Source organism: Homo sapiens, chromosome 21 (assembly GCF_000001405.40).
Source record: "Homo sapiens chromosome 21, GRCh38.p14 Primary Assembly".
Classification (NCBI taxonomy): Eukaryota; Metazoa; Chordata; class Mammalia; order Primates; family Hominidae; genus Homo; species Homo sapiens.
This window is the reverse complement of record NC_000021.9, coordinates 13,840,833-13,852,821: the sequence shown is the minus strand read 5'-3', so window position 1 is coordinate 13,852,821 and position 11,989 is coordinate 13,840,833. Positions and strand designations below refer to the sequence as shown.

Below are 11,989 nucleotides of genomic sequence, written 5' to 3'. Positions count from 1 at the left end.
TATTTTGTAGTGTGACAAGGATATGAGATTGGGGGGGACCCATGTCAGAATAATATGATTTGACTTTTTGTCCCTACCAATACTCTCATGGAATTGTGATGGTGAAAGTTAAAGGTGGGGCCTGGTGGGAGGTGATTTAATCATGGCGAAGAGTGGGTGTTGGAGGTAGGGGTGTGGGGAGAATGGTGGAGATTATTTTGTGGATGGGTGTGAAAGATGAGGGTGGGGATTGGATTCTTCATAAATTGTTTAACACTGTCTCCTTAATGCTGTCTGCATGATAGTGAGTTCTCTTGATGATTACAGAGCTGTGAGATACTGTATTGAATGAATACTGTCCTGCTGGGGTTTGGACTTGCATTTGTGTTATTTTTCTGGGGAATTTCTTCCCTTTGGATTGAGAAAACTTACCCAATGCCTATTGTACCTTGAAGGAAAAGAAATCCCTTTTAAATTCAGGGACTCATTGGCAGAAGGGATTGTAACCTTGTCTCAGATGAGACTTTGAAATTTTTACATTTGGAATGAGTTAAGACTTTTGGAAACTTTTGAAAAGGCATGATTGTGTTTTGCTCTGTGAGAAGGACATGAGGTTCTGGGGTATCAGGGTCAGAATAATATGGGTTGGCTGTGTGTCCCTGTAAAACTCACGTGTCATCCTTAATGTCGGAGGTGTGCCAGGTGGGAGGTGATTTAATCTTGGATGGGAGGGGGTTGGGGTGGAAGGAAAAGGAGGAGTAGTGTGGGGAGGAGTAGGTCGTCAGTAGGGTGGTGGGAGGGTGGGAGTAACTTGCTGCAGAGGCAGAGGCTCATGGGAAACCTCTACTAGGACAGTGCATCTCTGGCTTTGCAGGGTGTTGCCCCCATGGCTGCTCTCATGGGCTGGGTTGGTGTCGAGTGCCTGTAGCTTTTCCATACTGAGGGTGTGAGCTGTTGGTGGGCTTATGAACCTGGAGTCTGGAGGAAGGTGGCCTCCTGTGTGGGGGCTCAAAGCCTATATTTTCCTTCTGCACTGCCATAGTGGATGTTTCCTAAGAGGTTCTGCTTCTGCAGGAGGCTTCTGCCTGGAAACAGTGGGCGGTGGTGTGGGTGGAGAATCCTTCACCATTGGTTAGTTTTCTTGATGCCGATGTCCTGATGGTGAGTTCTTATGTGATCTGGTTGTCTAACAGGATGTCACACCTCTTTCCTCTCTCTGTCTTGCTCCTACTCCTGCCATATGAAACATCTCATTGCCGCTTGGCCTTCTGATATGGTTAGGAGGGGCCTGATCAGTGTAGGCCTGCTCAGTGGACCTAGTCAGTTGGGACTTTGTCAGTGAGGCCTATTTAGTGGGGGGTGGTCAGCAGGTGTCTGCCTAGAGAGGGTCTCATTAGAGGGATCTAGTAGTGCAGCTCTTGGTGAGTGGGTTCCTAGTGGCAGACAAATGTTTGGTGTCTGGTCAATGCCAACCTGGGCTGTGGGACTTGGTCAGTGGAGACCTTGTCAGCTGGGGCTTAGTTGTGGCCTTGTCTGATTGGGCTGGGTTACTGGTGACCAGGTCAAGGGGTGCTATTCAGTGGAGGCCTGGTCACATGGGACCTAGTCAGCAGAGGCGCTTGTCAGTGGGGCCCTGGTCAGGGCAGGCTGGTCAATGGAACCTAATCAGTGGGGGCCTGGTCAGAAAGGACTTGATCAGTGGTGGCTTTTGTAGCACTGGTCTACGGGGTGACCAGGTCAGCGGGGATCTGAGCAGTGCGTGCCTGTTCAGTGGGGCATACTCATTAGAGTCCCAGTCAGGGGCATCTGGTCACCTCAGGCGTGGTTAGTAGGAGCCTGGTCACTGGCAGCCTATTCCCTGGAGGCCTGCTCAGTGGGGCTTCATCTGTGGGACCAGGCAATGGGGTCATTATCGGTGGAACCTGATCAGCGAGGCCTTGTCAGTAAGGACCTGGTCAGTGAGGCCTTACAAGTGAGGACTTATCAGTAAGGTCCTCATCAGTGGAGTCCTGGTCATTGTGGGCCTGTCAGCGGGAATCTAGTTAGTGAGGCCTGGTGATGGGGGTCTAGTCAGTGAGGGTGTGGTCAGGGAGGATCTGATATGCTGGATCTGGTCAGCAGGGACCTGTTCAGTGGGGGCTGCTGAGCACTGCAGGGAGATGTCAGGAGAAATGCATGTTATCGAGGACCCTGTGGACAGCTGGGATGGCCCAGTGGTGTTCAATGGCCCAGTCAAAAGTGGACAAAGCAGGTGTTTGGATGGACCTGGGAGATCTTGCTCAGGGATTCTGACAGGACAAAAGTAAAGGAAGTACCAGAGTGGCCAGAGAGATGGTCACAGTCTATGGGCTGCACAGGATGGAGGAGGCCAGGGAACAGGCAGGGTGGGCAGCTGAGTTTCAGGGAGAGACATGTGCATGCTGGGAGGTCAGACCCAGTGAGGGCTGTTGGGGCATCAGGTGGACTGGGCTCCAGGTGCACCGTCAGTGCACTGGGCAGGTCTTGGCCCAGGCTCCCTGGACCCTGGCTGGGTGATGTGGTCATTTGCTGGGGGACTATTGTCAGGCTCTGGCTACCCAACCTGGGTAGCACTGTCCCATCTCAGGACTGCACTTCCTCAGATCCTGCAGAGGGCACAGCCTCCAGCCCAGGAGGGGCAGCCCCATGGTGCAGACTGAGCTCTCCATGGGCCTGGAGAATCCCCTGCCAGCCCTGCACTCCCTCTTCTCCCAGGTCCCGCTTTTCCAGGGTCAGCCAGTGGGGAGGCCCCATCCTCCCTTCCCTATGTGTCTCCTGGGCTGAAACTTGCAGTGCACTGGGACAGGGATGAGGCTTCCCTAAGGCCTATTTAGGGAGGGGACTGGCTTCCAGCCTGGCACAGGTCCTCAGCTCTGCCTTGGTTGCCTTAGAGTGAGATGGATCAGTCAGTGCCCTGAAGGTAAAGGTAGGAGACTGTCCCTGCTGTTGGGAGGCTGGTCTAGGGATGGAGGACTTAAGAGGTCTTCCCAGTCTGTCAGGCCTGGGCAGTGTTTTCCTGTCTGAGGACTCAGAAAATCCAGTCCTGGGATGGGACAGTGCTGCCCAGGGTGCGTGGCCAGGGTCTGACAGTAGTCCCCCAGGGAGTGACCACATCACCCAGCCGGGGTCCAGGAAGCCTGGCCTGAGACCTGCCCATTGCACTGAGGGTGTACCTGAAGCCCACTCCACCTGATGCCCCCACAGCCCTCACAGGGCCTGACCTCCCAGCATGCACCTGCCTCTCCCTGCACCCTAGCTGTCCACGCTGCCTGTTCCCTCACTTCCTCCATCCTGTCCAGCAGGATGGGATGGGCAGGAGGACAGCCTTTGTGCACATTTCATGGCAAGTAGGAGTGACACACCATCCCTGGGAGGTGCCTTGGTTCCTCCCAAACCCGGCCCCAGAACTCTGTCCCTGGGGTGGTTTTACCATACCCCAAACCCAGAACTGTGGTTGTGGCTCAGGGGTCAGCACCCACTAGTGCCGGGACACTACTGGGAGGCTGGGATCTGACCAAAGCCCGTGGTGCCTGTGGCCTGAGGACAGGGTGTCTTGGGGCCATAAGGACAGGCCACAAGTTCCCATTGGGTCATAGGGGCTCAGCCCCAGTGTTTGTTCTTCCCTGGCTCCCTCCCATCAGTGCCCTGGAGCCCAAGACCAAGCATCCAAGGTTCCCTCCAGGAATCCTGGTGGCTCAGCTTACTTTGTCGTGTTTCATCTGAGAGCAAAAATGTCAGATCGGATGCACAGAAAAATGGCTCAACATGCTTAATGACTAGAAGAAGTCTAGAAGCAGCAAGAAGGTAATGTGGAGAGGGGAGGACCTCCATGGGACTTCCATGACCGGTATCTGCAGAGCCAGGGGTACAGGCACCCAGTGCTGTGGACTGGCACCACCTCTCAGAGGGTGGGTAGCACACTGTCCTTACCTGGGGGACAGCAGGCCTGGTCACCAGCTTTTGTACCTGTCTCTGCAAGCATTGCATTGCTGGAAGAGAATCTCATGCCAGAGCTTGACCATGCCTTGCTCAGGGGTTAGGGGTTGTCTCTTGGTGACCTAAATGAAAAAAATATCTCCAGATCATAGTTCCCACAGAGCCCAAGGCTGGAAACCTCCAGAATCCTCTGGCCCCAGATCCTCCCCAGGGACCCCTGTGGCTTATCTCACCAGAGCATTCTTCCATCTGTAGATTTCTTGGCTGCTCCACAAGGGAGTCCCACTTCAGGTGTGGTGCTGGGCATGGTCACTCCTGCTGGATGTTTAGAAGGTGGAAACCAAGGACCTAGGGAAATACCAGGTACAGCCTTTCCACCCTCATCCAGAGAAGGACAAAGAGGCCAGGCGGTGTCAGGAGCCCAGGTCTCCAGCTGGAGGTAACGTCAACCCCGCAGTGAGAGCAGGGGCCCATTGCACATCCTAGGCAGAGATGGTAACGTAGGCACCACAGGTATGCAGGGATTGGTACCCCTCCCTGGCGTCAGAAAGAAGCCAAACAAGGAGCTTTCTGCAGAATGAAACCTTTCCTTTCAGAAGCACTGCTGACAGTTTGGTGGTTGCCATTGGGGCAGTGAGCCTTTTGTCCATTCTGAGGTTGGGCTGGTTTCTCCTCTTGGCCGTGCCCTACAGACCATAAAGGAAATCAGCTAGAAGTCCCCAGAAACATCCACAGATGGCCCTGGACATCAGCCACATTCTGAGAAACATGTCATGTTCTGGGAGGTCTAAGGCATCAAGTAAGTCTTATGGGGCTGGAGGATCCCAGGGCAGGTGGGGCAATCCAGAGCCATGGGGGCTTCCCATGGGAATTGGGAGGTCCCAAGGCAGATGCAGGGGTTCCACAGGAGGAGTCCCAGAGCCACCAAGCGCTCTCCTGTCCCAGGGAGCAGTCAACACCATGGACTGAACAGTTACTGGGCTTCAAGCTCTGGGCCAGGCTGGGGCATGTGGGGCCATGAGGGAGCTCAGAGTGGGAGACAGAGAGACAATTGTGCTCAGAGGGCACCCATTTCTGGGTGTAATGTGGTCCTGAGATTTTGGCTGAGAAGGGTTTCCAGGGTTTCATATGTGTTATGGAGCTGCTTCCTCTCCCCAGCCTCACCTTGCAGGAATCCCAGTGAATATATTGCCACCCTATTTGAGCTCAGTGCCCTCATAGTGTAATGGCACCAGCAGATCTGCCTGTGCATGGACTTCCTGTACTACCCATTCCTGAGGGGTGATGCTTCTGCAGGGCCTGTGACCTTGTGCACAACTTTAGACACCATCATCCTGGAGCAGCCCTGCACCCTCACTAGCCAGGGTGTTCATGACTTCCTCAAGACCAAGGCCACGTTCAAGACTTGGGACTTCAGTGATGCACTTGTGCTGGGCAAGGTGGCTTCTCCAGTATCTTAATTTGGGAGGTAGAATGCAGCTTGAGATCAAATGTCTGATCAAAGAACTTGAACTTGAGCTGGAGGGCTCTGGGGAGCCATAGAAGGTGCTGGATAAAGGAGGGACAGTCAGATATATTTTAGAGATGACTGTAGAAGGCTGCCTGGAAGGAGTGAACAAGAGCCAGGAGACCCGGGAGGGAGCTTGTGGGGCAGGTCTGGAGATGGCAAGGGAGGGATCCTGCTTGGATGAAAAGTCTTCAGGGACTGTCTCAGGTTACACTCAGGTGCCCTCAGAGCTAATGTGTTCAGAGGTCTTGTCTCCAGGATGAAAATGGGAAGGAGTTGTCAGATGAGGACATATAAATGGAGGCTGGCATCTTCATGAGTACCAGCGGTGGTCCCGGTGTGGGTCTCTCCATCCAGGGACATGGTGGATGGACACTACATCACTCCATTCTGCCCTTCCTTTCCCTCCTCCCATTCTCCCGAGGGCCTCAGTGCATGGGCGCTGTCCAACCTCTGGTGCTGAAGCAGCCAAGAGACGCAAGCCTGCGTGGCTGCCTCTTAGGATATGACAGCACAGCCACTGGCCTCTACTGAATCCTATGCAACCTCAGAAGACACCCAGGAGTGATGCCATCATGTGGTGCAAGAGTTCTGAGGGACCACAATCCTGAAGACATTGAATGGTGGGTGCAGGGCCTCATGGCCTGTTCCCCAGCTCCTCTCATTGGCTCTGCTCCAGGTGGTGAAGGGGGATAACATTTCTGTCAATTCTGCCACGATTGCCTAGCAGGAAAAGGAGCAGAGCCCAGAAGCAGGGCCTGGTATGCAGCCTGCCTAACAAGGAAGAATTTATAGGCTCTGTGGACAGAAAGATCTGGGAGTCCATATCTATCACCCACTAGCTTGCTGAGACATTAGTAAAGTCAGTTTTCTGGACTACATTTCTGTCATCTGTAAATTAAGAGGAATTTCTTCTACCCCACAAGGCTTCTTGGATAATTAGTGACAGTGTGTGTAGAGTAGGTGCCACCCAGCCAGCATTTGGTGTCCAGAACACTCCTCTTCCCCCTTGATTTTCTGCCTAAATTTGCATTTTCTTCTTAAGATTTTCACTCCCCTTAATTCTGCTCTTCCCTCTGATTTCTGCCTTACTGTATATCCCATGGAGTCACCAGGATCAAAGTGGGTAACAGTCATGTATGCATGTATGTGTGTGTACATATACACATTGTTGGGGCTGGAGTGTGGTGTGTGGGTAAGTGTATGAGTTGGAATCACTGACTGAAACTCTCCACACCAGGCTGTGTTCCTGCTCATTGCTGGAGGTACTGTCAGGGTCCCTGTCCTCAACCCCTGGTCTGACACTTGCAGATCAGGCAGGACATTCTGGAGGAATCATGCCCTTGGAAGGATCCCTGAGGAGTGACTGGTGGGTATTGGTGGATAAATACCCCAGCTCCCTTGCTTTGGGTGGGTGACTCTGAGGCACATGTTCTGTGCTGTCTCTGCAGATGTACCTGGCAGGGCTGAGTCCTGGCTGCCACAGGGGAAACTTTCTTGATGAAGGTCCCTTTAACTGCTGCATTCCTTTCCTGTCTCAGTTCCCCACTCCTCTACTGGTGTTTCCTGGGATACGCACCCTAAGGAAGAACTGGCAGTCGAATTACTATCCTAGAGTTATCTCCAAATAGAATTTTTGTATTTGAATATTTGCCTCAGGATCTACTTCCAGGAAAATTATACTAAGGCACACATTTTTCTGTCAGCTCCTTCAATCCCCATAGGCCTGCCATTGTGCTGTTTTTATCAAAAGGGAATATGAGGATCAGAGAGGGGAAGTCACTTGCCCAAAGTCACCCAGCTGAACAGTGGTGGAGTTCAACTTTGACCATGGGAAGTCTGGCCCCAAGGTGGATGCTTGTTTGTATCCCATGAGACTCCTCCCTTACCAGGGTCAAATGAATGAATGGAGGATGTTAAAAGTAGAGTCTCTGATGCCTCTCCAGAGAAACCCAGGCTCATGGCTGGCACCTGTGTTCTCACTCTTACCTCTTTAAGAGTATAATGAAAAACATGCTCAGTGCTGACTGTGTGCCTGGGGGTGTTGTAGGCACTCTGCTTACTTTAATTCATTTAATTTTTACAATAACCTTGTTTTTACTTCTAGTTGTTAGATTAAAAAACAGTGGCAAAGAGCAATACAGAGAGTTGCCAAAATTCACACCGCTGGTCCAGGTTTGAAGCAAGCAGTCTGTACCTGCAGTCCTTGTCTGTAACCATGGCACCCTGGCTTCTCACACATCTCATCGTGGAGTTCCACCATGTGTCAGGCATGGCACTGAGCACCTTCTTTTAAGAATATAATTTGTAATTATGTAGATTATTAATTCTACTTCAAAATGCCACACAGCCTTCATGTGATAAAATGAAACAATTGGTGAGTCTAAGCATTGAGAAAAAACGTTCTTTTTTCCACTCCCGACTCCATTCCAACAGTTGGGACAGTGTTTTCTCTGTGCCTGTAGAAACCTCAGCTCCTGGGCTGAGGAGCCTGTTCCCTTTGGGGAATGTGGCAGTCAGGTACTGGCAGGGACCTCGAAGCGGCTGAAGGGTCATTAAGAAAAAGCTGTTTACATAGGTGTGGGCAGGGCCAAGGGGAACCAGGGGTGATGGCGCAGGGCCCTGGGGTTAGCGTCATCTGGGAGCTGTCACCACCCTCCAGGCTGGTGGGGCCATGGAGAAGCTGTTCCAGTAACTCGGAGAATCTGCAGCTGAAAGAGGAGGCCAGAGGAGACATCACTCACTGTGCCCTTTGACTGCATCTGGATGCCCCCACTGACCACACTACCATCCCCTTATTAGACTGGAGAGGCTGCAGGGAGGGGTTCTAAGCCTCCTATAGTGGCTCACCTCCAACAGTGAGTCAGCACCAGCCCCCCTAGTCCCACAGCACAGGGTCCACTTAGACACTGTATCCTGCGTGGTCCCCTTTCCTGCTGGGAAGCAGATATCCAAATGAGCAGCAGAATCCTGTCTCTCCCTTCAGGCCCCTCTGCTCCTTATGAGTGGTGTTTTCCCTTGGTTTTGGATGAGAAACACCCTTTCCCCTTCCAGAGGGATTGTTTCTGTGGACCCCACCCTGAGTTTTCCCCTGGTTAGGCAACGGGCAGGTGGGGGTGGTGGAACCAACTCTTTAGAACCAGCAATGACAAACAGATCCCACTTGGGGGAAGTTGATGTTAAGTGTCATGGGTCCTCTGGAATTTTCTGAAGCTTTCCTGTTTTTTTTTTTCTCCCCCTAACCAGCTCAACTGATCTCCTGGGATCTCTACTAAGATGTTGGCAGCCCGGCCAGCTGGTCTGGCCCTGGACGTGCCTTCATGGTCTGGTTATGCTTCATGACCTGCACTGTGGTCAGTGGTAAGCAGCACCTGCTTCTAGCTTTACTGTTGGGTCAGATTTTATCCCCACTCCAGCTCTGCAGTGCGGCTGCTTCTTGTTTCATCCATGGACCCTGCACGAAATTGCCCCATGTTTCTGTTTGTGCATCACTGAGAAAGGAAGCATGAAGGACGCACAGGTCAGGCCATTCCATTGCCCTCCTGGTGCCGGGTTTGCCCTCCCAATCCTGGGGTTGCTTCAGGGGCTTGTCATTCTCCATAGTCCCCTCCACATTTCTCAGGTTTCTGCTCAAAAGTCACCTTTTGGAGGGGTCTCCACCTGTCACTGTGTTTGTAAGAGCTCCTTCAGTTTCTTTCTAGCTCATCTCACTCTGGTAATGTCTTTGATTACCACCACCATCTGACCTGGTCTTATGACCTGTTAGCTTTCTTCATCAGACGTGAGCACCAGGATGGCAGGGGCCTCATCTGTCCTGTTCCTCCTGTGGCCTGGGTCCTAGCACCATGTCTGGTACAGTGTAGATGCTCAAGGGAAGTTTACTTTGTAGAACCACTTACCTGGGAGATGTTACTGTTAGTCTAACCTGTACCATTTTGTAAACCTCCAGCCATTTTGCAGACTCTGATCACAGTGAAACGTTCCATGGGAACTTGGGCCATGAGAAACATCCTTCCTAACCACGTGACTGCAGAAACATCCTTATCGCGTCCTCCTGGGCAAAGGCCCAACAGCCTGACTGCAGGGACATCCTTGCCATATCCTGCTGGGCAGCAAGCTCTACCACCCAGATCCCTCCCTCCCAGTCCCATGATTACCCCAGCCTGTGAGTGGCAGTTGGTGCTGGCACTAAGCTGGTTTCCTCCTCCCCAGGGTTTTGCTGGCAATAAAGATGTTGCTGTTGAAGCCACCAACTGTCTCTCTGTCTTTCTTTAACCCTCGCCTTGCCTTCCAAACCTAACAATAACTCTACCTCTCCATTTTACCAATGAGGATATGGGACTCAAGGAGAGCAAGAGATTTACCCAGTGAGTCACAGAGCCTGAACTTAAACTCAGTTCAGCTGAATCCAGAACTTGTTTCTCCCGAGAGTCCAGGGAAGGAAAAGTGGAACTGCAGCCAGTAGGTGCCCACATGCTTGTTCTAGAAGACCCCAGGCGGGCTCCTGGGAATTGCATCTTCATGCACACAAAAGAAGAACTGCTCACTGTCGCATCAGCTAAGGGTCCCCATTGTCCTAAATTGTTACTTCCTTTCAAAGTTTTGTTTTAATAATTACAGTTGTCACAGCTCAGTGTTGAATACAAAGCACAGAGGCATGTAGAAAGTCGTGTGTGGGTTTTTCTCAATTTTTTTCCCCAGTGACTATATCAATAAGTTTACAAAAGAACACAAATATGCTCATACTTTTTATATAGAGATGAGGCCCTCCCTCCCATATTTCTCTGCCACTATTCTTCCATTTTTTTTTCATGTGAGGACCACTCTTTCAATACTAGTCCATGTGATTGGGGTGAGGCTGGCCACCCTGGGCAATCAGCAGGGTAATTAATTCAGGGACAGGCATGTGAACCAAGCTGGGCTGATGGAAGTCATCCCTGCACTTTTGATGAAACTGCTGGGAATGAGGTGCTTTCTTTTTATTGGCACAGTTACTTGCAAGGAAGTAAATTATATGGAATTTATGGGGCCATTTTTGCTGTTCTCTCAAAATAGCTTGCATGAAAAGCAGAGCTGACACAGGAAATGAAGGGACAGAATGAGTCTTGGTTGATATTATTTGACCCCTGATCTCACTGAGCCAGAAGCCCATCTACTTAAGGATATTTTTAGTAATTAGAGTCAAGTAATTCAATGTTCTCCTGGATCGAGTAGGTTTCAGTCACTTGCAGTTAAGAGAGTCCTGCGTAATAGCAATTTCTCTTATGGTTAGGTCCCACCTGCCAGAGCTTTAGAGCTGTAGAAGGTATAAAGTAAACCCAGGCAGTGCTGAGCTAGCCAGGCTCCTGGATAAGTGTGCAAAGGAACCCTGGAATCACTACCACCTTGGTCTGACAAGTAGCCTTGCCTGCTGCTTACCATACAGCCATAGGGGTACTGTTTCCCTGAGCCCTTAGACATTATACCACTTTTTAAAAATGATTTTTATCTAAGAAAATGTTTTGTAGAGATGGTGTCTTGCTATGTTGCCCAGGCTTGTCTTGAACTCCTGGCCTAAAGTGCTGAGATTACAGGCATGAGCCACTGTGCTTAGCCAGCACTATACTTCTATTAGTTGTCAATGTTTTCTTCTGTAGTTTCTAGTGTGTGCTTGAGCATGTGTGTGTATGTGTGAGTGTGTGTGTGTGAGTGTGTATGAGTTTTTAGTTTGATCTTGCAGGGTTATTTCAAGCATCAAGTGGGATCCTTTAGGCACAGCACTCAGCCCAGTGACTGGCACATATGGTAAGCTCTCTCTGTTCTCCTCTTTTCTCCTCCTGATTCAGAGAATGACTTAAGGATCTGTGATGTGTGCCAATTTTCAATGCCCTGGATAAATAATGGGGAGATGAAGTACTGTTGCCAGAAATTTGCACTAGTTTTAATTCATTTTATCTGTTTAGCAATGAGATATCTCAAAGTAACTGAATGAATTTATGTCATATATATATACATACACATAAGTATGTTTCTTGAGAGCTGACAGGCTTAGTTTTTGTTCCCTGATGCTGTGGTAGAGGCCACTGTGTTCTGATTTCTTGAGTGATGGCTGCCAGCTCTCCAAGTGTCACAGTTGGTGAGGCATCCATGGGGGTGAGCACCAAGGATGTGTGGCCAGTCAGCATCTGCAAGCCCATTTTGTCTATTCTCCTTATTTTTATAATATGTTTTATTCATTTTTAGGTTTATCATTTAATTTATTATAAGTATCTCTCCTAAAATTGTTTCTTAGTTCTACTAGGGGTTAGTTTTATGAAACAAGTCCAGAAATAGTCCAGGGCAGCCATGGATACCCAACATGCCATTGGGGAGTGAGAAATCTTGTATATTGAAGATTGTGTTGTTGGGAGCATCATTCCAATGGTCTTCAAGGTGCTAAACTGGACTCAGGGCATTTCATCCTATTTCCAGAGAGCAGCAAGCAGAGAGAGCAAAGGGAATATGATTAAGGGAAAAAAGGAACAATAACTCTTCCCTTTCCAAACAGATTTTCAGAAATCCAAACCAGTG

At 50.4% G+C, this 11,989-nt stretch overlaps 1 pseudogene across 1 annotated transcript; it reads left to right on the top strand.

Annotated features, from left to right (window-relative positions):
- Positions 1-4,457: 4,457 nt before the first annotated feature.
- Positions 4,458-9,689, top strand: CYP4F29P (cytochrome P450 family 4 subfamily F member 29, pseudogene; annotated as a pseudogene). Its single transcript, NR_026755.1, has 6 exons — positions 4,458-4,732; positions 5,873-6,063; positions 6,681-6,809; positions 7,548-7,817; positions 8,687-8,800; positions 9,390-9,689. The product of NR_026755.1 is annotated as a cytochrome P450 family 4 subfamily F member 29, pseudogene (transcript).
- The last annotated feature ends 2,300 nt before the right edge of the window (positions 9,690-11,989 follow it).